The sequence below is a fragment of the Homo sapiens genome, chromosome 2, assembly GCF_000001405.40.
Source record: "Homo sapiens chromosome 2, GRCh38.p14 Primary Assembly".
Taxonomy (NCBI): Eukaryota; Metazoa; Chordata; class Mammalia; order Primates; family Hominidae; genus Homo; species Homo sapiens.
In genome coordinates this window covers 169,798,538-169,825,369 of record NC_000002.12, presented here as the reverse complement: position 1 = coordinate 169,825,369, position 26,832 = coordinate 169,798,538, and the positions used below count along the sequence as shown (strand labels likewise).

At 40.2% G+C, this 26,832-nt stretch overlaps 2 protein-coding genes and 1 non-coding gene across 8 annotated transcripts, besides 2 other annotated features; 1 reads left to right on the top strand and 2 right to left on the bottom strand.

The window, feature by feature from the left end:
• On the top strand, positions 465–13,613 carry METTL5 (methyltransferase 5, N6-adenosine). Of its 5 annotated transcripts, none has more exons than NM_001293187.2 (8): positions 465–502; positions 730–881; positions 3,313–3,427; positions 4,097–4,278; positions 5,727–5,809; positions 9,842–9,893; positions 12,864–12,913; positions 13,512–13,613. In NM_001293187.2, the coding sequence occupies exons 2-8, from the start codon at positions 773–775 to the stop codon at positions 13,548–13,550; spliced, it is 630 nt and encodes a 209-aa protein (NP_001280116.1). In that variant the 5' UTR covers positions 465–502; positions 730–772; the 3' UTR covers positions 13,551–13,613. The 5 variants fall into 5 exon arrangements, with proteins under 5 accessions (NP_001280116.1, NP_001280115.1, XP_047299971.1 ...); NM_001293186.2 differs by having other exon boundaries at positions 465–588; XM_047444015.1 differs by lacking the exon at positions 9,842–9,893.
• On the bottom strand, positions 8,992–9,091 carry SNORD3K (small nucleolar RNA, C/D box 3K). The gene has a single exon (NR_145754.1). It is a non-coding gene; the product is annotated as a small nucleolar RNA, C/D box 3K (small nucleolar RNA).
• On the bottom strand, positions 13,306–26,499 carry SSB (small RNA binding exonuclease protection factor La). 2 transcript variants are annotated; one of them, NM_003142.5, is made up of 12 exons: positions 26,394–26,499; positions 24,344–24,418; positions 19,793–19,896; positions 19,531–19,705; positions 18,478–18,585; positions 18,299–18,399; positions 16,817–16,888; positions 16,468–16,510; positions 14,947–15,087; positions 14,326–14,512; positions 14,047–14,187; positions 13,306–13,702 (listed from the first exon to the last, which is right to left on the bottom strand). In NM_003142.5, exons 2-12 carry the CDS (start codon positions 24,407–24,409, stop codon positions 13,614–13,616), a joined length of 1,227 nt encoding a protein of 408 aa, NP_003133.1. In that variant the 5' UTR covers positions 24,410–24,418; positions 26,394–26,499; the 3' UTR covers positions 13,306–13,613. The 2 variants fall into 2 exon arrangements, with proteins under 2 accessions (NP_003133.1, NP_001281074.1); NM_001294145.2 differs by lacking the exon at positions 26,394–26,499 and adding an exon at positions 25,854–26,068.
• Positions 26,065–26,264: a silencer, noted in NCBI's record as "silent region_12086". NCBI's record gives its function as "represses an Ori minimal core promoter by ATAC-STARR-seq in GM12878 lymphoblastoid cells {active_cell/tissue: GM12878}" and the evidence as "EXISTENCE:reporter gene assay evidence [ECO:0000049][PMID:35858748]".
• Positions 26,216–26,716: an enhancer, noted in NCBI's record as "H3K27ac hESC enhancer chr2:170655164-170655664 (GRCh37/hg19 assembly coordinates)". NCBI's record gives its function as "activates a minimal SCP1, AML or CMV promoter by ChIP-STARR-seq in naive H9 embryonic stem cells {active_cell/tissue: H9 hESC(naive)}" and the evidence as "EXISTENCE:reporter gene assay evidence [ECO:0000049][PMID:30033119]".

The following is a 26,832-nucleotide window of genomic DNA, read 5'->3' as shown; positions in this document are numbered from 1 at the left end:
TCTCTTCTTTGGGTTTCTTTGACATCACCACTCCTGTGAGAATTGCAAGTGACACAAATGACCTAAAAATTGGGAAACAAAGTTACAATAAAATAAGGCATGAGAATGGAGAAGGAGGTAAAGGTGAATGGAGATCGCTACTTTTTGAGCCGAGACTTGGGAAACAAGAAGAGTCACTCTGGGCCATACAACAAAGTGACTGTGACTTTCTCTCCCGCATCCCTTTCACTCTGTCTTTCCCCATCCTTTGAGGGCCCGCAGGTACTCATGGCAAACTAGAGGGTAATGAGCACGCGACAGGCGGCGAGGACTGGCGGTGGGTCAGCAAGTAGCGCAGGCTTTGCAGGCGGAGGGGATGGGGCAATGAGGCCCCCAGGTGGCCAGCGGAACCCCGGCTCAAGATAAACGCTGCAGCTCGGCGCCGGGCCGCTGGGCGGCGAACGCGTGCGCGCGTGCGGCCTGGCGCTTCCGGCACCGGCCGAGGTGCGGGTCGCCTCCAGAGGTGCGTGGTCGTGGCGCGAGGGATCCTGAGGCTGCTCCAGCAGTGCGCCGCCGCCGTCTCCTGGGGCGGCTTGGGTTAGCCGGGAGGTGGGTCAGAGGCTCGCCCCGTGCCCTGCGTCCGGGCGTCTCCTTAGGGCGCGTCTTCGGGTCCGGCCAGCGGTGCTGAAAAAGGGAGAAGGTTGGGGGTAGGGAGGAAACAAGATCCCAGTTCAATAGATTTCTCCGCAGATCCTGTGCCTTCAAACCCTACGAGTCCATACTTTAAAACAAAATGAAGAAAGTAAGGCTTAAGGAACTAGAGAGTCGCCTGCAACAAGTGGATGGATTTGAAAAGCCCAAGCTACTTCTGGAACAGTATCCTACCAGGCCGCACATTGCAGGTAGGGCGGCTGGTTCACCACGCCCCGGCTTTCGGCGTTAGTCCAGTCTACTCTGTGATAAAAATAGAACAGTTATTTGGATACAGAGAATGTCTAGAGAAATTCTGCCCTAAGATCACCTGTCGCGTTAGAGAGGCCTTCCTTGACACTGCAGCTCAAGGCACACCCTCCACAGACATACACACTATCATTTTACTGTCTAGTTTTCTGCATATCCCTTAACACTGCCAGACATCTTTTTAATGTGTTTTTTTCTCTTCTCACATTACAATCTCTGAGGACAAGGAATTTGTTAGACTTGTTCATACTTGAATTCCCAGTGCCCAGAAGAGTCGCTGGTACTATTTAGGAGCTCAGTAAACATTTACTAAATAAGGATCAGTTTCCCATTGCTACTAATTGCCTACGCAAGGATTCTTGTGCTATATACTCTGCCCTAGAAATGAATACCAGAGTTGATAGTGGAATGATAGTTTAACAAAATCAGAGTATGTGCTGTGTAAAGATGAGCATGCATATTTTAACAGATTTTCTGAGCATTAGCATTGTTGCTTCATGCCAGATATTGATACTGGGAGTACAAGAGAGAATACAGGACAACATATATTTATGTTACCGAAGTCATTGGGAAACCTTAGGGGAAAAAAATTTTATTATTATTATTTTTTGAGATAAGGGTCTCACTCTGTCACCCAGGCTGGAGTGCAGTGGCATGATCACGGCAACTGCAGCCTTGACCTCCAGGACTCAAGTGATCCTCCTACCTAAGCCTCCCGAGTAGCTGGGACTACAGGCATGCACCGTCATGCCTGGCTAATATTTTTTATTTTTTGTAGAGACAGCGTCTTGCTATGTTGCCCAAGATGGTCTCAGACTCCTGGGCTGAAGCGATCTTCCCACTGGGGCCTCAAGAAGTGCTGAGATTACAGGCATGAGCCACTGAGGCTGGCTCCTTAGGAAAATTAATTTTCTGAGAGTACCTGCAAGGAGTTTTTTCCAGTTCCAAAATAGTTGTTTCTAAGTTGTCAATGAAAGTCAAGGAGAATACATGTGTATTTACACTTAACTCCAAGATACTGTCATGATTCCAACCAAAAATTCACACAAAACTACTGTGTCTAGGTTAAGACCAGTTTTCTCAAATAATGACTTACTAGTCTTCTGACTGTAGGTTTTTTTAGTGGAATCCAGTTTAAAAAATAATAACAATCTGGCCAAGTACAGTGACTCACCCCTATAATCCCAGCACTTTGGGAGGCCAAGGCAAGAGGATGACGAGCCCAGGAGTTCAAGATCAGCCTGGGCAATACAGTGAGACCCCAGCTCTTAAAAAAAAAAAATTAGCCTAGTGTGGTAGTATGTGCCTATAGTCCCAGCTGCTGATACTAAGGCAGGAGAATTGCTTGAGCCCTGGAATTTCAGGCTGCAGTGAGCTCTGATCCGCCACTGCACCCCAGCCTGGGTGATAGAGATAGACCCTGTCTCTGAAAAAAAACAACAAAAAACTTCTGGATCCGCAGGAATCAGTGGCCAACAGTCCTTGCTGGGTTCAGATATCTTCAGGGAAATATCGGTGGTGGTGGTATTCATGTTTGACCTTCAGTGTGTATCTAACACCCAGTAGTTCTATTATCAGGTCTCATTTGTAGATTATGAATATATATGTCTGTAGATCATGAGTATATGTGTCTAAAGGCTACATTGTGGAGCTTATGGTGCTTGTGTTCTGGTGACAAACTTGTTAAAACAAAGTTCTGTGGCTAGGCACAGTGGCTCATGTCTGTAATCCCAACACTTTGGAAAGCCGGGGCGGGAGGATCACTTGAGCCCTGGAGTTCGAGAGCAGCGTGGGCAATATAGTGAGAACCTGTGTTTAAAAAAAAAAGAAAAAAAAAGATTCTATGTCTTTGTGATGCTAATGCTTGTTTGATAGTGGTTCCTAGTCTTATAGATTTCACAGATAAGTAAAATTTCAAAACAATTTTGGAAATTGATAGAGTTGCCAAATTTATGTTGACAAAAAAGGATTTTTTTAAAAACTATTTACTCTTACCATTCTTTCTTAAAAATATTTCAGCATCAAAGAAAGAACCGATATGAGTATATGGCAATGTTTTTAACAAGCTGAGGAAAAACTAAACGTTTTGACTTTTTTTTATTTTACCTCAGAGACTGGGCACAGTTTTGTCATTCTTGGCATTGCTAGCAGAGACTATTTTTTGAGAAACACTGGTGGGTATTAGCTTCCTTTATGGTGCCTCTTACTACATACCAAATCATTACCCCTTATCTTTTACAAAAATAATCTGGAATGGCATTTGGGGAGGACTAAGTAATGCAACACAAGAAATTATTTTAGAAAGAGTCATTTGCACAAATTAGATTTTAGTCACCGGCTTGCTTACTTATTCTTTTTTTTTTTATTTTTTAGCATGTATGCTCTATACAATCCATAACACTTATGATGACATTGAAAATAAAGTCGTTGCAGATCTAGGATGTGGTTGTGGAGTACTTAGCATCGGAACTGCAATGTTAGGAGCAGGGTACGTAATGCAATATATGCTATTTGGGTATTGGGTGGCTTTAATAAGGAGCATCAATGGGATTAACTGAATTATATTTATGAGACTCCACAGAATGAGATATAGGGAGCAAAAATCTGATACTGAATACATTTTGAATGGGCAGAAGATCTAAACAAACTACAAAAATTAAATAAAAATGGTGAAAGCAGCAGTTCCTTTTATACAAACCTGAGTTTCCAACCCCTGCCGGGTTTGGAAATTATGCTGTTACACTTGACTGGGCACAGTGGCTCATGCCTGTAATCCCAACACTTTGGGAGGCCAAGGTGGACAGATTACTTGAGCCCAGGAGTTTGAGACCAGCCTGGGCAACATGGTGAAATCCCATGTCTACAAAAAATACAAAAATTAGCTGGATGTGGTGGTGTGCGCCTGTGGTCCCAGCTACTTGGGAGGCTGAGGTGGGAGGATTGCTTGAGCAGTGCAAGATGGCACCACTACACTCACCTGGGTGGCACAGCAAGATCCTGTCTGAAAAAAGAAAAAAAAAAAGAAGAAAACACTCACTCTTACTTTGCTAATTGGGTTAAAAAGATATATGGTTTAAAAAAAAAACAGCTAATTTTGGTTTTGTTTTTACTTGGGAGCTATAAGTCGCCACTCTTTGTATGTGTTTTGTATTTATAGGTTGTGTGTTGGATTTGACATAGATGAAGACGCATTGGAAATATTTAATAGGAATGCAGAAGAGTTTGAGTTAACAAATATTGACATGGTTCAATGTGATGTGTGCTTATTATCTAACAGAATGTCCAAGTCATTCGATACAGTAATTATGAATCCTCCCTTTGGGACCAAAAATAATAAAGGTTTGTAACAAGAATCGGGTATATTGGTATATTTATAGAAAAGATTTTAAAACCATTTTTAAGGCCAGGCGCAGTGGCTCAGGCGTGTAATGCCAGTGCTTTGCGAGGCTGATACAGGAGGATCATTTGGGGCCAGGAATTGGTAGCCATCCCGGGCAACATAGTTAGACCCTGCCTCTACCCACACACACACACACACACACACAAATTTTAATTTCCCAAGTGTGGTGGTGCACCTATAGTCCTAGCTACTCAGAAGGTTGAGGTGGGAGGATCACCTGAGCTCAGGTATTCGGGGCTGCGATGAGCCATGAATGTGCCACTGCACTCCAGCCTTGGTAACAGCAAGACCCTGTCTAGAAAAAATTAAACAAAAATAAAAACCATTTTTATCACTGTTTGGGCTAAGTGATTTTATCACTCTTCATTAAATAAACCAAGGCTAAGTGATGTTATTACTCTTCATTAAGTAAACCAATCTCTTATTTGTATAGTTCTTATAATTTACATTTCAATTTGTTTAATGCATGGCTAAGAAACTGAGTTTTTCAACTTTCATTTTTACAAATTTGTATTAAGTAAACAAAGATAGTCATGTCATTTATTGTATATCTCCCATTTGCTTTCAGGAATAATTTGCCTAACCCTTATGAATGAATACGAAACATAGAAAGAATTTTATACTTTCAGAATCTGTTTTTTAATGTCTTAACAGACCCAAGGGTTTCTACATGTGCCCATCAGTAACAGTGACTCACCGTGGCTGTTAATTTTGTGTGTACTGTGGGCAAGGAGGTTAGGAAGTCAGTGAGGGTAGGAAAAGACATGCATAGTTTGGCCGGGCGTGGTGGCTCACGCCTATAATCCCAGCACTTTGGAGGCTGAGGTGGGTGGATTACCTGAGGTCGGGAGTTTGAGACCAGCCTGACCAACATGGAGAAACCCCGTCTCTACTAAAAATACAAAATGAGCCAGGCATGGTGGCACATGCCTGTAATCCCAGCCACTAGGGAGGCTGAGGCAGGAGAATCACTTGAATCCGGGAGGCGGAGGTTGCGGTGAGCTGAGATCATGCTATTGCACTCCAGCCTGGGCAACAAGAGCGAAACAAAAAAAAAAAAGACATGCATAGTTTAAAAAGTACCCTGCCCCCACCAAGATGATTCTGAATAGTACTCTATGCATTTCCTTCTCCCCTTTTTGAAGTCATTAATGTTGGAATATAATATTAAAATTTTTACTTTATCCTTATTTAACCAAGACAGTATAATTCTGGTTTTATTCTACCAGCCTTAAAATAATATTTTGATAGTTTATTTGTACCCTTATTGCTAAAAGATTTCAAGGTGGCTATTTTGAAGTTTGGAAGAAAATATTTCTAAATCCTACTAACTTAATCTTCTGTTTTGAGAAGAGGTAAATAGGAGCTTTTTTTCTACTCTTCACAGGGACAGATATGGCTTTTCTAAAGACTGCTTTGGAAATGGCAAGAACAGCAGTATATTCCTTACACAAATCCTCAACTAGAGAAGTAAGTTCAAATCATCTGATATTCTGTGGCATTGATTTTTAAATTCATGACAGTGTTTTTAGGATTTGCTGTGAATACTAGATACCACAGTATCTATTTCTCCTGACCATTTTGACATGTGAAACTTAAATTTTCCACTTAACCAGCTAGCATCTGATTGGCCTTTTTCCAGGCTATAAGACTTATTTCCTCAAAGATTTTTTTCAGACAGGAACTGTTGCCAGAGGAGAGACTATAACTCAGGAGTAGAAAAGTGTGTTGTAACTAGGATTACTGTATGTTTTGGTTTCTCTGAGTAAGTCTTAGTTGATCCCTTTTGTCCCATTGTCCCGGTGTGGCCTGATGTACTTAAGGGAGGCAGTAAGGCCAGGTTTTCAGAACACTTGAGCCTGGAGCTAAACAGATCTGAGTTCAGAAATCACCTATTCTTACTTTTGCAGCATATAACACATGGAGAGGTGTATAAGTTGTAGTCCAGGAAACTGGGGGAAGGGGCAGTACATTTTTTTAGTGTCAGTATAACACAATAGTTAGGAACAGAGATTCTGAAGCCAGACCAGATTCTCTGGGTTCAGATCCAAGTTCTGCTGCCTCCCAGCTGTTTTCTTGGTCAAGGTAATTGAGTTTCATCATCAAGGTAATTGAGCTTTTGTCATCTATACTATCCTCACCTGTACTCTAAGTGTAAGGGACTGAGAGTACCAATTGTACTTCATAAGAATTGTGAGGATTACATGAGTTAATATTTACAAAGCACTTAGATCAGTGTCTGACATGTGTAATTGCTATGTGTTAGCTATTATTATTTAAATCATACATGTATTCAAAGATTTTAAAGTGCTTTTGTAGGAAAAATACTTAATTCATGTAAATACAGTACGTAAGAACCCAGTTGGAAATAATACATTCTAGTTACATGGTAATGTGATAACCTTTTAAAAAGCATAAAATATAACAGCTAAAAAGAACTATACTGCTAATAATAAGTAGTGGTACATGTAGGCAAGCAACAGGACACAACATAGCTAGTAAATAAATCCTCACTCACTATATATGAAAGCAAACACCAGTAAACATTGGTATCCAAACCTGTGTCCCCAAGAACACCCTCAGGTTTGATGATTCACTAGGAAATCTCACAGGACTCAGCATCTAGTCTTATTCATGGCTATGATGTATTACAGTGAAAGGATATAGAGCAAAATCAGCAAGGAGAAAGGTGCATTAGGCAGAGAATGGGGTAAACCAGGGCCAGGCTTCTGGAGTCTTCTGCCAGTAGAATAACACAGGACACAATTAATTTTCCCAGCATGAATTATTGATAACACATGTGAAACATTGCCAACCAGGGAAGCTCATTAGAGACTCAGTGCCCAGGGCTTTTATTAGGGACTGATCATGTAGGCAATTCCCTTTCTGACACATACCCAAATTCTAGACTCCCAGTAGGAAAACAGGTGTTCAGCATAAACAGTGTTAGGCACAGTCAGTCACTATTATTAAGGGAGTAGGGAGTGGGAGGCTTCCCAAAATCTAAGTTCCCAGTCTCCAGACAAGGGCCAAACTAAGCAGGCCTTTCTAAGGATAAGCAGCCAGGCCTGCTGTGAACTCTTTTCTGCACAGCTTGGCATAACATGAATTTTTTTTTTAATTATACTTTAAGTTCTAGGGTACATGTGCACAACATGCAGGTTACATACGTAGACATGTGCCATGTTGGTTTGCTGCACCCATCAACTTGTCATTTACATTAGGTATTTCTCCTAATGCTATCTCTCCGCCAGCCCCCCACCCCCCAACAGGCCCCCGTGTGTTATGTTCCCCTCCCTGTGTCCATGTGTTCTCGTTGTTCAACTCCCACTTATGAGTGAGAACATGCGGTGTTTGGTTTTCTGTCCTTGTGATAGTTTGCTGAGAATGATGGTTTCCAGCTTCATCCCATGAACTCATCCTTTTTTATGGCTGCATAGTATTCCATGGTGTATATGTGCCACATTTTCTTTATCCAGTCTATTATCGATGGACATTTGAGTTGGTTCCAAGTCTTTGCTATTGTGAATAGTGCCGCAGTAAACATACATGTGCATGTGTCTTTATAGCAGCATGATTTATAACCCTTTGGGTATATACCCAGTCATGGGATGGCTGGGTCAAATGGTATTTCTAGTTCTAGATCGTTGAAGAATCTCCACACTGTCTTCCACAATGGTTGAACTAATTTACACTCCTAACAGTGTAAAAGCATTCCTATTTCTCCACATCCTCTCCAGCATCTGTTGTTTCCTGACTTTTTAATGATTGCCATTCTAACTGGTATGAGATGGTATCTCATTGTGGTTTTGATTTGCATTTCTCTGATGACCACTGATGATGAGCATTTTTTCATATGTCTGTTGGCTGCATAAATGTCTTCTTTTGGGAAGTGTCTGTTCATATCTTTTGCCCACTTTTTTGATGGGTTTTTTTTTCTTGTAAATTTGTTTCAGTTGTTTATAGATTCTGGATATTAGCCCTTTGTCAGATGGATAGATTGCAAAAATGTTCTCCCATTCTGTAGGCTGCCTGTTCACTTTCATGATAGTTTCTTTTGCTGTGCAGAAGCTCTTTAGTTTAATTAGATCCCATTTATCAATTTTGGCTTTGTTGCCATTGCTTTTGGTGTTTTGGTCATGAAATCTTTGCCCATGCCTATGTCCTGAATGGTATTGCCTAGGTTTTCTTCTAGAGTTTTTAGGTCTTACATTTAGATTTTTAATCCATCTTGAGTTAATTTTCATGTAAGGTGTAAGGAACGGATCCAGTTTCAGTTTTCTGCATATGGCTAGCCAGTTTTCCCAGCACCATTTATTAAATAGGGAATCCTTTTCCCATTGCTTGTTTTTGTCAGGTTTGTCAAAGATCAGATGGTTGTAGATGTGTGGTGTTATTTCTGAGGCCTCTGTTCTGTTCCATTGGTCTATATATCTGTTTTGGTACCAGTACCATGCTATTTTGGTTACTGTAGCTTTGTAGTATAGTTTGAAGTCAGGTAGCATGGTGCTTCCAGCTTTGTTCTTTTTGCTTAGGATTGTCTTGGCTATGTGGGCTCTTTTGGTTCCATATGAAATTTAAAGTAGTTTTTTCCAATTCTGTGAAGAAAGTCAGTGGTCGCTTGATGGTGATAGCATTGAATCTATAAATTACCTTGGGTAGTATGGCCATTTTCATGATACAGTGCTCTACACTTTCGGAGAAACTTCTCTAGTAACGAACTATAGAAATGATCCCTGAAAGTATAGTCTTGGCATAACATGAATTTTATAAAACTCAGTTTTACTGCATGAACTGAATTCCCCATGTACCTATATCTCTGCCAAATGGTTTCTAGGCTAGCTAGCTGTATATATCAATGAAATAATGCTACAGAAACCATATGAGAACATTACACATCTTTGATAGATTTCTGAAATAGTCATGCATCCTTTAACAACAGGGATATGTTCTGACTAATGCATTCTGAGGTGATTTCATCATTGTGCAAACATAGAGTGGACCACCGAGGCTCTGTGGTTATAGTCTGTTGTTCCTAGGCTACAAACCTGTCAACCTATTACTGTATTGAATACTACAGGCAATTGTAACACAATGGTATTCTTTTGATCTAAACATATATAAACACCAAGAAGGTAATGTGTTGTGCTGTGATGTCAAGATAGCTACATCATTAGGCAATAGCAATTTTTCAGCTCCATTTATAATTTTATGGGACTACCAAAATATATGCAGTCCCTAGATAACCCCAAATGGCATTATGTGGTGCATGAGTAGCTTTCTATCACTTGGATTTATTGTGTGATTTGGTTCAGATTGTTAAATGTATTGAAATTGATTTATTATTTTCAGAATACTATCCATTCAATTGAAATTTTTATAAGGGTCTAGATTCTAATGAAATTTTAAGCTTAAAAACTCAATCTCAAGTATTAGTAAAAAGCAATTTTAAAAAATCATTATTTAAAAATCAGCTCATAACAACATATTATTTATGTTCAGCATGTTCAAAAGAAAGCTGCAGAATGGAAAATCAAGATAGATATTATAGCAGGTAAGACAAATCTCAATCCTAATATCCAAAAGGGCCAACATGTATTCGCCCAACCAAAATTTTCATGCAGGTGCTGAGAAGATAAACTATGCTTTACAGTGTGGCAAAATGTGCATGATTGGTAATAGATTGGAAATGGAGTAAAAGCAGAATGAACACTTAGCCTGAGACTGTCCTAATTTATGCGATTTACTGAAAATTTCTAATAGCACTCAGGTATTTGGTCACTCCAGACTCAGGCAGAACACTGTATAGCAGCACAATGGCTAAAAACATGGGCTGGGGGCCAGGTGTGGTGGCTCACGCCTGTAATCCTAGCACTTTGGGAGGCCAAGGTGGGCAGATCACCTGAGGTTTGGAGCTCAAGACCAGCCTGGCCAACATGGTGAAACCCCATCTCTACTAAAAATATAAAAAATTAGCCAGGCATGGTGGCGCACACGTGTAATCTCAGCTACTTGGGAGACTGAGGCGGGAGAATCGCTTGAGTCCCAGAGGCAGAGGTTGCAGTGAGCCGAGATCGCACCACTGTTCTTCAGCCTGGATGACAGAGGAGACTCAGTCTCAAAAAAACAAAAACAAACAAATGAAAAAAAAAAGTGGGCCGGGCGCGGTAGCTCACGCCTGTAATCCCAGCACTTTGGGAGGCTGAGGCAGGCGGATCACGAGGTCAGGAAATTGAGACTATCCTGGCTAACATGGTGAAACCCCGTCTCTACTAAAAATACAAAAAAATTAGCCAGGTGTGGTGGCAGGCACCTGTAGTCCCAGCTATTCAGGAGGCTGAGGCAGAAGAATGGTGTGAACCTGGGAGGCGGAGCTTGCAGTGAGCTGAGATCGCGCCACTGCTCTCTAGCCTAAGCAACAGAGTGAGATTCCATCTCAAAAAAAAAAAAAAAAGTGGGCTTGGAGTTGGTCAGATCTTGGTTTGAAATTCATTCATAGAAAATGCCACCACATTATTCCTAGATAATCTAATTTCATTTTCTTTTTTCTTTTTTTTTTTTTGAGACAAAGCCTTGCTCTGTTACCCAGGCTGGAGTGCAGTGGCAACCTCCACCTCCCGGGTTCAAGCGATGCTCTTGCCTCAGTCTCCCAAATAGTTGGGACTACAGGCATGCACTACCACGCCCGGCTAATTTTTTAATCTTTAGTAGAGACAGGGTTTCACCACGTTGGCAGGGCTGGTCTTGAACTCCTGACCTCAGTGATCCTCCAGCCTCGGCCTCCCAAAGTGCTGGGATTACAGGTGTGAGCCACTGAGCCCAGCCTCTAATTTCATTCTCTAATTACCCCTGGAATCAAATAACATTTATCTTTTTCTTCTAAATATCTATGAGTAAATCATGTTTGATACATTTTTATTACTAAATTGGGTAATAGTCACAAACATCAAAACAGGAAAAGCATATAACTAGAAGCTAATTATAATCTAAGCCTGAAATAAGAGTGCAATAAGGGAACATGTTTTTTCACAATAATAAACTAACAATGAATTGCCACTGTAGTGTTAAACATACAGCTAGATATATTACTGTTCATAATAATAATGTAATATACACTTCTGTTCGTCTTCCTGTTATTTTCAGTAGGGGTGTTTTTTTGTTGTTTGAGATGGAGTCTCCCTCTGTTGCCCAGGCTGGAGTGCAGCAGCACGATCTTGGCTCACTGCAACCTCCACCTCCTGGGTTCAAGGGATTCTTCTCCTGCCTCAGTCTCCCCAACTAGCTGGGACTACAGGCGCACCACCACGTCCAGCTGTTTTTTTTATTATTATTATTTTTAGTAGAGATGAGGTTTCACAATGTTGGTCAGGCTGGTCTTGAACTCTTCACCTCAGGTCATCCGCCCGCCTTGGCCTCCCAAAGTGCTGGGATTAGAGGTGTGAGCCACCGCGCCCGGCCAGTTTTAGGTATTATATGCAGTACGGAACACCTTAGAACAGTCCCAGTACTATACCAAGCCAGAGGCTTGTTCCTCCAAATGTGGCCCTCAGACCATCAGCATTAAAATCCCTGAGATTTCCTTGTTAGAAATAAAGAATTTCAGGCCGGGCGTGGTGGCTGACACCTGTAATCCCAACACTTTGGGAGGCTGAGGTGGGCAGATCTTGAGGTCAGGAGATCAAGACCATCCTGGCTAACATAGTGAAACCCTGTCTCTACTAAAAAATACCAAAAAATTAGCTGGGTGTGGTGGCAGGCACCTGTAATCCCAGCTACTTGGGAGGCTGAGGCAGGAGAATGGCATGAACCCGGGAGGTGGAGCTTGCAGTGAGCCCAGATCGCGCCACTGCACTCCAGCCTGAGCAACAGAGCGAGACTCCGTCTTAAAAAAAAAAAAAAAAAAGAATTTCAGACTCCACCCAGACCTACTGAACTAGAATCTGCATTTCAACAAGATCCCCAGGTGATTTGATTGCACATTAAAACTTGAAAGCTGTGACATACAGGAGTAGTAGACTCACTGCCATCCCTCTAAAATAGATCAGTAGTAAAGAGTTTGGAGAATCTACATTATTCTTTAGAAGGAAGAAATATGAAAAACTGGTTTTCGTTTTAGAGCTTAGGAGGAAAATGGGTACTTAGTACCATTATTAAACTCTGGGTAAGAAAATTTTGAAATAAATATGGTTATGAGATTAAGTTAGCTATAGACTATTAGGAAATTAAAAATAGAAAGGTACCATCATTTTCATAGGATTTACTTTTTCGTCCACTGTTTATCCTTCTAAACTCATCACTTATAACCTCAAATTTCAGTATAAATGGCCATAATAACAGAAATGCCAAGCTGCCATGGCTAATGCTAGGAATACAGAAGTCACTACTTGGATAAGTTAAAGGTTCTAAAATGTTCAGCTTACCAGCACTTAACACTTTTCTTAGTTTTTGTTGTTGTTGTTGTTTAGTCAAGGGTGGTAAACGCTTGGAAATACAATTTTATCCTTAGGTGGCTTTTGTTTTACAGAACTTCGATATGACCTGCCAGCATCATACAAGTTTCACAAAAAGAAATCAGTAAGTCTCTTGATTTTGGCTGGTCTACATTCGGTATTGAAAAGCTTTCTGGGCCGGATGTGGTGGTTCATGCCTGTAATCCCAGCTACTCGGGAGGCTGAGGCAAGAGAATCGCTTGAACTCAGGAGGCAGAGGTTGCAGTGAGCTGAGATTGCCCCACTGAACTCCAGCCTGCGCGATAAGAGTGAGACTCAGTCTCGAAAAAGAAAAAAAAAGGAAAGCTTTGTGACAAGTAATTATTTCTAGTGTTACCAACTTTCCTGTGTAAATATACAAAGCCAGCCTAGGAGACACCATAAATGGCCTGTGGGAAAGGCCCATCGTCAATAGCTAATATTCTAGTTCTTTCCTAAATGCTTTGGGTACAAAAAGAAAAAAAAAATCAAAAACTGTTTTTGCTCTTTTCATATAGTATATATTTTATTAGTTAGTTTGTACTAATACATTCTCATATTACAAAGGCAATTTAATGGAAGAATCTTCCTTTTGATATTTGAATCATCTGAAATAACACAAACAGAACAATACATTCAAAGAAATCTCATTTGCATAACAAAAAGACAAGTTAAACAACAAAAAAATTTTTCCTTTCTCACAGGTGGACATTGAAGTGGACCTAATTCGGTTTTCCTTTTAAAAGCCCCGCAAACAAAAGTCGTTTAAAACCTATTTAAAATGAATAAAAAATTGGTTTACTAAACTACTGGTCTCCAGCACCATTTTCTGTTTTCTGTTGTTTGGATGCAGGTTCTTCTTTGTCTGTTTCTTCTCTTGCTCTTTTCACAGGTCCTATAACGTAACAATTAATTTTTGTTAAATTCAACGTAAGTACTGCTCTAGTTTAATACTGAGCACAATTACTAATAATGATACTGTTGAAAAAGATGCAACAACTTCCTTGCACCAATGAGAAAAGGCTTTTCTCTTAGTACAGACCTGACCTCTAGATTCATCTTCCAAATATCCTGTCCCTGACTTATACAACAGCATAACCGAGGTAAATCGTTAATAATCCAAGAATGGCACTTATCCAGGAGTTGAAAAGCCAAATCCCTATTCTCTCTGGCAAATCATTTATTTATGGAAGTAGAAATTTTCTCATGAAACTACCAAAGGACTTAAAAAAAACTTACCAGTTGCACCATTTTCATCATGTTCATCATGTTCATCATCACTAGCAAATTTCGTTTTCTTGCCCTGAAACTGTACTTTTCCTTTACCAGACCCAGGCTGGGCAGCTTTATTACCCTTTCCTTTTCCTTTAAATCTACGACCTGTAGAGACACAATTGAGCACTCTGTAAAGAACTTTTTTTAAGTCTCTTGTCAATGTTTTTGAACACTGATTAAAGTTTTTGCTCAAGTAAATGGGTTCAACAACCAAACTGTTAAAGAAAAATCAGAATAAATGACCTTTTGACTTCCATTTGTTTAGGGATTCTTGTTGGTCTTCTATTATTTTCTTCAGTGCTTCTTTTTCCACCTCTCCTTCTAGTACTTCCCAAGTCACTTCTTTGTTCCTTAATTGTAGGTTACCATTATTTGCATCTTTGGCTTTACCCAATGCTTCCTTGGCTTTTTCTTTAAATAGAATTATCCCCTATACCAGAGACAGAAAACAAAAGCCATACCCTTGGTTTTTAGTCCCACAATTAATTTCTTTGTCCAAAGTAATTTTTTCTACCCTGCAAACCTTCCATGTCTTTACCAGTTTGAATGAATTTTACTGAACAGTAGAAAAGGAATGCTACAGAAGTAAAACTGCAATCATCAGTATGAACAGTTATTCATAGTATAATTCAGAAACTATCAGACATCACATATAGTGACAATAACAACAAAGTAAATGATCAAGTAGAAACTAATTTAGTATAATTCAGAAAATATCAGACATCACATCTAGTGGCAATAACAAATGATCAAGTAGAAACTAATTTAATAAACACAATTTTTAAAATTACTTTCTACTAATTTTGTCTAAGTTTCTACAGATTTTCAAACTGATTGCTAAAAAGGATAGGGATGTATCCAAACCTCTTTTGCTCCTCTGACGAAGTCTATCCATTTTATTTCACCATGATTTGAGAAAAGTATGTGTAAATCTTCTCTACAGGTCTGATCATCTAAATCACCCGAAAATTTCAGCAAGCATCCAATCTTTTCTTCTAGAGATTTCTATAAAAATATACAAAGTGATCAAAAAGTTTCTTAAAAGCAACAACAGACCAGAAATGACTCACACCACCTTATAGCTATACAAGAAAAAGACTAGAAACCAAAATGCTATTTTAAAGTAGTTTCTTCCGCCGGGGCAGCAAGAGCGAAACTCCATCTCAAAAAATAATAATAATAATAAATAAATAAAGTAGTTTCATAGTGTTGGTGTTTTCCTTTGTCATCCTTTATTCCAAAATGGCTTTCAATATTATTTGATCTCTTATACAACTGGTATTTAATTAGTTATAAACTACATAAATCTGGCTATTAAACTATCTTGGAAAATAATTCTAGGCAGTATTTATCATACTTTAAAAAATTTTTAGGCCGGGCGCAGTGGCTGACACCTGTAATCCCAGCACTTTGGGAGGCCGAGGCAGGCGGATCACCAGGTCAAGAGATCGAGAGCATCCTGGCTAACATGGTGAAACCCCGTCTCTGCTAAAAAAAAATACAAAAAATTAGCCGGACGTGGTGGCAGGCGCCTGTAGTCCCAGCTACTCGGGAGGCTGAGGCAGAAGAATGGCATGAATCTGGGAGGTGGAGCTTGCAGTGAGCCGAGATCGCGCCACTGCACTCCAGCCTGGGCAACAGTGAGACTCGGTCTCAAAAAAAGAAAAAAAAAAATTTTATAGTCATTATTTTCCCCAAATAAAAATTTTTACCTGTAACTTTCTAAATGGAAATACACATCAGTATCTTATTAAGTCAAAAATAAAAGTCATGTTAGTATTAACCTATGATTAGAATCTTTAGAAGTTATAGGACATTTTCTCATAAAAATAAGTTCTAGGCATAAATGAACTTTTTCTGAATATTTCAAAATATATTTTCCTGTGTTTTATTATATTTTTTATTTTTAAACAGGGTCTCACTCTGTCACCCAGGCTGGACTGCAGTGGCATGATCTTGGTTCACTGCAACCTCCGCCTCCTGGGTTCAAGTGATTCTCCTGCCTCAGCCTCCCACATAGCTGGGATTACAGGCATGCACCACCACGCCTGGCTAATTTTTGTATTTTTAGTCAAGATGGGGTTTCACCATATTGGCCAGGCTGGTCTCGAACTCCGTGCCTCAACTGATCTGCCCGCCTCGGCCTTCCAAAGTGCTGGGATTACAGGCGTGGGCCACTGCACCCGGCCTTTTCCATATTTTAGAACATATTTCCTATCCTTAGTTTTCTCTTTTCCCTCAATATAATACCTGATGTATTACTTAATGCAATAACAACTATAGATAGCTTTGCTTACGTATTTTCTTGAAAAAGTCCTCAGACTTAAAAGCTATTCATTTAACTTCGAATTACAGATGTACTAGATAGCAGTAATATATACTTACCATTTCAGCATCTTCTTCTAACTTTTGTTTTGCTTCTTGCTCCCTACAAATAAAAATATAATTATAACATACTTCTATTTACTATATAAGAAAATTAAGTCCTAATAAAGTTAACCAATCATGATCACTAAACTTACTTAACCAAAGCCAGAAGTCCTTAGGTTTTTTTGATCGTCCAATGCTAGACTGCAATGCAATTTGGCCCTGAGATTGTCAAGGCAGCTTAAGATCTCAGTGTTTCACTAGCAAAGAGAAAGGTCTACTGCCACTATTTCAGAGCTCACCAGCTATATTTCTGTCAGAGCTTTAAGGAATTCAAATTATGTCGTGATTAGTTCAACATACTTACTGTTTAGCTCTTAATTTAGCTTCCACTTTATTTTGTTTTCTTTCTTCATTTTTTTTGGCAAAGTAATCGTCCCTAAAGAACACACAGTACAGAGGCTAAGTTCACGAGAACAAAGTTAAGACTGCAGATTATTTTGAATAACTTAAGACATGGCACAGCAATGAATGTTGCACACGCTTACTATCAACATAATCATCAACTAAAAATTCAAAATATGCCAAGGAATTTACTCTCTCATGTTTTTTTATATAACAGCTTTACTGAGGAAAAAATCCATGTGCCACAAAATTCACTCTTTTAAAGTGTACCTTGAATGTTTTTTAGTATATTCAGTTGTACAACCATCACTACTAATTTCAGAACATTTTCATGACCCCAAAAAGAAACCCCCTATCCATTAGCAATTTCATGTTGATTTCCATTTATCATTCATGTATAGGGAAAAAAGTGTATCAGAAGTCATGCAAATAATATTGCAGTTTTCTATAGTGTTAATTCCACAAAAGGAGAAAATTCTAAAATCCCCAAGATCCAACAATAACATATGAAAATCATGTTAAATAATTTTTGAGGATTTAACACTGATACTATGACCCATCACAGTGCATCTCTAAGTCAATCAAGTTTAGTATATACCATTTAGAAGACTAATGCACAGTCTTCTAAAGTAGGGAACTATGGCCCTACACCTAATTTTATCATGAAAATGCTCTGGTTCATCCCCATTTTTAGACACTTAGACAGACACACATTCACAAAGAATGTGACCCAAATCTCAAATCCTTTGTACTGTAAAAAAAAAAAAAAAAAAAAAAAGACATATAGGCTATGAAAAATAAGATGAAAACTGCATTGATATATTTTCCAAACACACAAAAGACCAAATTTTAATACCCAGCCTGATCAAAAGTTTTAGATGCAAAATCAGTATTAAAACATAACCTCCTTTAATAATGGCTAACAGTGGCTGGGCGCAGTGGCTCACGCCTGTAGTCCCAACACTTTGGGAGGCCAAGGCAGGCGGATGATCTGAAGTCAGGAGTTCAAGACCAGCCTGGCCAACATGGTGAAACTCCATCTCTACTAAAAATACAAAAATTAGGTGGACGAGGTGGCACGCGCCTGTAGTCCCAGCTACTCAGGAGGCTGAGGCAGGAGAATCGCTTGAACCCAGGAAGCAGAGGTTGCAGGGAGCCAAGATCACACCACTGCACTCCAGCCTGGGTGACAAGAGTGAAACTTGTCTCAAAAAAAAAAGAAAAAGAAAAAAAAATTGTTAACAGTGAAAAGGTACTAATGAACACTTTTCTTATAGTCTCAAAAGACTATAGTTCTCACTGAACAAATATCAAGCATTTCTCAAAGGTCATCTAAAGATACTAAGAATATTGGCCTTTCAGGGGATACTACTTCCATGCTCCTTACCCTAGTGTGTGTCCATATAAGTAAAAGGCCAGGAGAAACATCAGCAAAAAGACTTACTTGAAAAGTATTAGCAGGTCTGTTTCTTTGTACTTCTGGCCAGGGGTCTCTACAAATTTCTTAGCAGATTCAATGCTATCAAACACAACAAAAATTGATCCCTGTAAAAAGGAAGGAAAATATTTTTTTAAGTTATGTCCCATATATTTTAAAACTAGAAAAAGTCTGTATTATCATACCTTAAATGCTTTATGCAATGTTCTTCTCATCTGAATATTTAGTACTTGACCTTTATCTTCTAACCATTCTTTTATGTCATCAAGAGTTGCATCAGTTGGGAAGCCTTTCTGTGAAGAGTGGGAAGAAATGTACAAATAACAAATAATGACTTCTCAGATAAACAATTGGAGAGAATTTGATTCATTTTTTCTTGAAATGAACCCAGGATATACCTATCTATCTCTATTTCTCTTTGTTAATCACTTAACAGCCTTGTTTAGGAGCCACTACTCTCCAGTACAATAAAAGTGATTCATCTGGTATTTGCTTCAAAATAATTCAGTTGAAGCAGAAATAAAACAAGATGATTTGCATGTTCTGTTATTAACTACTAAAGCTGGTGATGGTACATTATTGAATCTATTTATATATGTATCTGAAATTTTCCGTAATAAAAAACTATTTAAAAATACACTAAAGAAAACTGCAATCAAGTTTAGCTGCTGATAAATAAGAACAGCTAATAGGCAATAGGTGCTTAGAATATGTCAAAGATTTCATCCAATGGTATATATATTTTTTTTCATTTAATTCTCACAACAGTTCTACAAGGTAGAAAATATCCACGTTTATGAAGATAAAACTTAGGACTAGGCATGGTGGCTCACACCTGTAATCCCAGCACTTTGGGAGGTCAAGGTGATTGGATCACTTGAGCCCAGGAGATTGACACCAGCCTGGGCAACACAGGAAGACCCGTCTCTACAAAAAATTTTTTGCCAGGCATGGTAGCATGCACCTGTAGTCCCAGCTACTCAGGAGGCTGAGGTGGGAGGATCACTTGAGCCCAGGAGGTCAAGACTGCAGTGGGCCATGATCACACCACTGCACTCCAACGTGAGCAACAGGATGAGACTGTCTCAAAACAAAACAAAACAAAAGAAACTTAGGTTAAGAATATTACGAAAGGACATACAGTAATTAGTGAGGCTGTGATTCCTGAGCCCTTATTCTTCCGTACTTTACTTTCTAAATAAATGTAAGATATTTAAATGCATTACAGGCCCACTTACAATATAAACAGATCTGTTTTTTACATCATTTTTATACTCATCAGTCACTTCAGGTAGGGGTTTGCTTGGAGACCTTCTGATTTTAGTTTTATCTTCACTGATTTCCATGAGTTCTGCCTTGGATTTGCTCAATGCTTCCACAATTACATTAAAGTCTGTTGTTAGACGGTTCAACCTGAAGAGTACATATAAAAACATAAGACTCAGCAGTAGCACTCATTGTAAACAGAAAACCTAAAGATTATTTTTAAAAGCTTGTTACCTGTTGAATTTTATCATTATCTCCAAAGGTACCCAGCCTTCATCCAGTTTTATCTGTTCCTTTAGAAACTTGTCCCGTGGCAAATTGAAGTCGCCAAAATAATACTGTGAGATAATTACAATGTATTTCAGAACACTGTATAATATGGACTCCAATCCTGACATTACTCTACAGTACCAAGTTCTGTTATTTAAAAATACATAAGTTACAAAAGGCAAAACACTTTCCCCAAATATACAATAATGTTTACAAATTAGCAAAAAGATAAAACTAAAATGTCAATTACTAAAATAGTGTAACAGATGTGTCAATAGACTAGAAAACCTTAAAGAAGAATATATTTAAAGATTATATGAAAAGGCTCTTGCAAATCAGTGTGGAAAGAACAGATGGTTAAATAAAAAGAACTGGAAGAAATTGGTTAATCACTCAATTCTTATTTTTTTTTGAGACAGAGTCTTACTCTGTCGCTCAGGCTGGAGTGCAGTGGCATGAACTCAGCTTGCCGCAACCTCCGCTTCCCAGGTTCAAGTGATTCTCCTGCCTCAGCCTCCTGAGTAGCTGGGATTACAGGCATGTACCACCACGCCCAGCGAATTTTTGTTATTTTTAGTAGAGACAGGGTTTTACCATGTTGGCCTTGAACTCCTGATCTCAAGCGATCTGCCCACCTCGGCCTCCCAAAGTGCTGGGATTGCAGGCATGAGCCACCACACCTGCCCTTCTAATTTTTTAAAATTAAAAAATAAGGGACGGGGCCAGGCACGGTGCCGCACGCCTGTAATCCCTGCACTTTGGGAGGTCAAGAGATTGAGACCACCCTGGCCGACATGGTCAAACCCCGTCTCTACTAAAAATACAAAAATTAGCTGCACATAGTGGCACACACCTGTAGTCCCAGCTACTCAGGGGGCTGGGGCAGAAGAATCATTTGAAACCGGGAGGCAGAGGCTGCAGTGAGCCAAGATTGTGCCACTGCATTCCAGCCTGACAAAAGAGTGAGACTCCATCTCAAAAAAGGGGGTGGGGGGCCAGGAGTGGTGGTTCATGCCTAATCCCAGCACTTTAGGAGGCTGAGGTGGGTGCATTGCTTGAGTCTAGGAGTTCAAGACCAGCCTGGGCAACATGGCAAGACCCCAGCTCTCCAAAAAATAAATAAATAAATAAAATAAATAAGAAATAGAGGTACGTGCCTCTAGTCCCAGCTCAGGAAGCTGAAGTGGGAGGATTGCTTAAGCCTGGCAGGTTGAAGCTGCAGTGAGGCATAATTGTGCCACTGTACTCCAGCCTGGGCAACAAAGTAAGACGCTGCCTCAAAAAAAAAAAAAAAAAAAAAAGTTAAAGTAAATGTTTCTCAAATTTAAGCATAGAGGAACTCTCAATATACAAGCCAAGGAAAAACCCAAGTATGACTATTTGGAATGCCAGAAGTAACATAAAAAGTAAAAGACAAACAAATTTTGTCAAGAATTCTTACAAACAAAGAAGAAGGGTAAAAAGAGAACACCCTAATAGAAAACAGTTAAAGGATATTTTATTGGCCTCGCACGGTGGCCCAAGCCCATAATCCCAGCACTTTGGGAGGCTGAGGCGGGTCAATTTCTTGAGGCCAGAAGTTCGACAACAGACTGGCCAAAGTGGTGAAACCCTGACTCTACTAAAAATACAAAAATTAGCCACACATGGTGGTGCACGCCTGTAATCCCAACTACTCGGATGGCTGAGGCACAAGACTAGCTTGAACCCGGGAGGTGGAGGTTGCAGTGAGCTGAGATCACCGCCACTGTACTCCAGCCTGAGAGGAGAGCAATACTGTCTCTCTGTCTTAAAAAAAAAAAAGACACTATTTTTCAGGGATCGGGTCTTGCTTTGTTGCCCAGACTGGAATGCAGTGGTGCAACCACAGCTCACTGCAGCCTGAAACTCCCGGGCTCAATTGATCTTCCTCCTCAGCCTTCCAAGTAACTAGGACGACAAGCACATGCCACCATGCCCAGCTAATGATTTTTTTAAAAATTATAAAAAATAGGCCAAGCGCAATAGCTCATGCCTGTAATCCCAGCACTTTGGGTGGCCGAAGCAGGTGGATCACCCGAGGTCAGGAGTTCGAAACCAGCCTGACCAACATGGTGAAACCCCGTCTCCACTAAAAATACAAAAATTAGCCGGGCATGGTGGTGTGCACCTATAATCCTAGCTACTTGGGAAGCTGAGGAACCTGGAAGGTGGAGGTTGTGGTGAGCCAAGATCACGCCACTGCACTCTGCACTCCAGCCTGGGAGACAAGAGTGAGACTCCATCACAAAAAATAAATAAATAAATAATGTACTGTAAACTAAAAAAAAAATCCAACCTCATTTCATTGTTAATCAAAGAAATACAATTTAAAGCAACGAGACAGCATTTTTCACCTAACAAACTGGCTAAGATTAGAAAGAAAACCAAGACTACCTAGTATTGACTTGAACACAGAGAACTAGCCATTCAGGTAGATGTAAACTGACAATTATCAGTGTTTTTTAAATGTGCATAATCCTTGAGCCAGTATGGCTCCTTCTAAGAATTTTCCTTGAAGAAATCAATAAACATGTTTACTAAGATTTATATATAAGAATATTTGTCAAAGAATGATTACAGCTAAAAAAATTAGAAACATCCTTCATATTAAAGAGGAGAATGAAAAGATTATTGATTACAAAACTTTTCTCCACAAAAATGCATCCTATATTTAGCGGGGGAAAGGGAAGGAAATAAAATTGTTAGAAATGTACCACTCTGGTGGGGGATGTTTTAAAAGGTGAAGGCACTATGCTTGTGTGGAGGCAGGGGATATATGGAAAATCTCTGTACCTTCTGCTCAATTTTGCTGTAAACCTAGAACTGTTGTAAAATATAAGGTCCACTAAAAAAATTAGTATGAGCATGAAGCAAAGTGTCAAAAGCTTTTAACCTTGATAACCTCAGAAGAGTAGGATTTGAGAGTTAGCAGGTTGTGGGAGAGATACAACCTTTTCTATATACATCTTAGTATTGTTCTAAGTATTAAACACAGAATGAATAATTTCTAATTTTTCTCCTCATAGTCATAAAGAAATTAATACCAAAAAAAGGAACATGAGACATTTTAAATGCAGAGACGTGCAGCTTAAAAAAAAAAAAAAAGCAGTTCTGAGAATTGCAGAAAAACCCCACACCAAACAATATGATCTGAGGGGTTCTTAGCAAGAACCTAAGTTTAGAGATAATTTCCCATGCAACCATTATCGATATTGTAAAGATTTTAAGGTTTTTTTCTTTTTGAGTTTAATTGAACAAAGAACGATTTGCAAATCAGGCAGCCTCCCCAGCCAGAGTATGCTCACGAAGACTCTCAAGTTTCTTCCCCTCGCCCCCTGAAACAGTGTCTCGCTCTGTCATCCAGGCTGGAGTGCAGTGGTATGATCACAGCCACTGCAGCCTCTACCTTCTGGGCTCCATCAATCCTCCCACCTCAGCTTCCCAAGTAGCTAGGACTACAGGTAAACTGCTAACACACTCAGCTAATTTTTAAAATTTTTTTGTAGAGATGGGGCCTCATCATGTTGCCCAGGCTGGTCTCTAACTCCTGGACTCAAGCCATCCTCCTGCATCAGTACTGCAAAGGTACTACGGATCACTTGAGGTATTACGTTAACATAAACATAATACCTAAATTTGAAAAAATGCTAAGAGGGTTTTGAAAACAGATACTATATTAAAGTTACTGGCTGGGCACAGTGGCTCACACCTGTAATCCCAGCACTTTGGGAGGCTGAGGTGGGCAGATCACCTGAGGTCTGGAGTTCGAGACCAGCCTGGCCAACATGGTGAAACCCTGTCGCTACTAAAAATACAAAAATTAGCCAGGTGTGGTGGCGTGCTCCTGTAGTCCCAGCTATTTGGGAGGCTGAGGCAGGAGAATCATTTGAACCCAGGAGGCAGAGGCTGCAGTGAGCCAATACTGTTGTAGTGAGCCAGGATAGTGCCACTGCACTCCAGCGTGGCCAACAGAGTGAGACTCCATCTCAAAAAAAAAAAAAAAAAAAAAAACTATATTAAAGTTACAATAGCTGAGAACTGACTGGGCAGAAAAAAACTAAGATCATCAAAAATATAGTGTTATTTAACAGGGAAGGTACTTTACCAAGGACTTTTATGTTACTTATGTGTCAGGAATTCTTCTAAGTACTTAACATTATATTCACTAATCCTCCAAACTACCTTATGAGGAGGGAACTACTATTATTCTCATTTTATATGAGACTATGAAGCTAAAATTTTATATGAGACTATGAAACTAAAATTTTAAAAAGATTAAGTAACTCTAGTTTATAGTGTTACCTTTTGAAATGTTTGTACATCTTAAGTTTCACAACCTGGCTCCACCAATATAAAACTGTATGCTATTATATGTTCATCTAAGAATCAAAGGCAAACCAAATGTTGAATATGTCCATGTACTAGAATTAAATGTTCTTTCTGTATTTTCTTTCAAGGAACTTGTTTTTGCAGTTTATAGCACAGGAATCATACCTCAATTTGATGACAGATTTTGGCCTCCAGGGCAGCCATCTTTTCATTATCACCATTTTCAGCCATTGCGGCTATCTGTAAAATTTCCCAAATTAGCATAAAGTTATTTTTTATATAAAACTCAAGAATAGAAAGATAATGTTTACAAAGTATTAATATCCCGTTTTCTTAAAAAATCAAGAATTTCTATTTTCACGGGTTCAGTTTCTTTACTCAGTTCTCAAATATCTCAACAAAGCAACACTTTGGAATAAGTGATGAAAAAATCTAAAAACTATAAAAAACTTGTCTTTCAGTAAATCACTACCCCATCTTCTATAACAAGAAACTGTTTATCTTCACTTAGCTGGTCAAGCAAGCTTTAGGGAAAAAAACTCCAATCACTTACCAACCATTTCCAGTTTTAAACAGATAACTATCTATCTGTATATTACCATGGCTCTCTGTGCATTTGTTTGGTATGGGTTCACCTCTTTTTTTTTTTTTTTTTTTGAGACGGAGTCTCGCTTTTGTTGCCCAGGCTGGAGTGCAATGGTGCGATCTCGGCTCACTGCAACCTCTGCCTCCCAGGTTCCAGCGATTCCGCCTTCGCCTCCTGAGTAGCTGGGATTACAGGCGCCCACCACCACGGCTGCGGCTGACTAATTTTTGTATTTTTAGTAGAGACGGGGTTTCACCATGTTGGTCAGACTGGTCTTGAACTCCTGACCTCTGGCGATCCACCCGCCTCGGCCTCCCAAAGTGCTGGGATTACAGGTGTGAGCCACCGCGCCCGGCCTCATTTCTTTTAAAATGTAGTCACAACTGACTTACCCAAACCTTGTTACCAAGTTAGACATCATAACTTTAAGGTGAAAAATGTTACAGTTCCTTAGATACTCTATGCTAAGGAACATACGAAAACAAAAATGGGAGAATGTGGTCATACTAACACAACATTAAACTGGGGAGTATGCCTACTAATTTACTAATACATTGGATAGCCAGTTTCCTGTTTCGTATTCCTGACATTAGCACTGCAATGAAAAAAGGAAGCTGTGCTATTAGTTTGCTAGAAATTACAAACCAAGTCTTCTACTTACAAAGTACTTGCCTCCAGGACTCTACTAAGCCACCCAGTCATCCCAACTGTACAAAAGTTATGTGAACAAATCATCGAGAATATTGCCATTAGTTGACTCTAGTTATGAACTGATGTAGGTACACTTCCTGGAAGCATCCCCTGACACACTGCAATTGCATTCGATACCATGGATACACATAGGAAGCACTTGCAACGGGGTACTGTGTGATCCACATCCCCCTAGAGAAATTACTCAATTTTATGCATTGTCTTGTCTATCACAATCTACACTCCTAAGTTACTACCGTGATCTAGGGCCCCCTACAAAGCAAACGATGAAATAAAATAACTATTTAGACCCTGCAAAACCTATTTGGCCTAATTTTGGAACTGCGTTTCATCAGATACTTTTCCAGAATGTACGACTGTAAATGAAATATTACCCACGTTTTCCCGTTTCACACTGAAACCTGATGTGAGCGATGAAGGCCCTAACAGACCAAAAGAGTGACGCTGGTGTACATCTGCGGCCCAAAGTTCTTTGGCCTCCAGTCAGTCCCATAGGCTCCACAGAACCCTCCGGCGTTTACCCCGTGCCCACCTCCCCAGAAACTTTACAGAGATGGCCACAAGCCTTCGGTGAGACTAGAAGGCGGTGGAGGTAAAAAAAAAAAAAAAAAAAAAAGACGCAATGGGGATGAGGGCAGCCACAGTCCCGTCTCTAAGCAACCGCGGAACTGCCTGGGCACCAGCCACGTGCGGGGAACCCCAGGATCCCGCATTCCTCGCGGGGGCAGCCTCGCCGCCGCCCGCGCCCCCTCGGCTCCGCCGCCTCCGGCTGCGGCCCACGCGGCGCTCGGCCTGAACGTGAGGAAGGCGAGGGGCGGACGGACGCCGCGAGAAGCAGTAAAGAACGGAAACGCGCAGTCGCGCACCAGCAAAGCGGACCCTTTTGTAGCTTCTCATTAGCCACCGAGAGTTACTCACCTTTAAGGTTCCGGCCCACAGAAGCCGCGCCACAGGCTCACAAACAGCAACAGCAACGACTCCACCTCCCAGCGCCGCCGGCCAGCCTAAAGCGCTCCAAGAAGATGGGGACCGTCCCGGCAGCTCTTGCGGCCTGGGTGGGCAGGGCCACGGACGAGGTGGAGCGGTCCCTGTGCTCTGAGCATGCGCGGCTGCCGGGGCCTCCCAGGGACCCTGGAGTCCCGCCCTCAATCCCAAACAGATTGGGTTAAAAAGTACTCCAGGTTGTAGGGGAATGGCTGCTAGTTTGTGTTAGTATAAACATTTATTTTTAAGTATTTCTGGACGGCGTCTGTACCCCAGCCCTTCCTTTGGCCCTCCATTCATGTGAAGTGCTTTGGGTTTTTTTTCAGATATTTTCCAAAAATGTGTGTGAATACACACACACATCGTGTTGTAG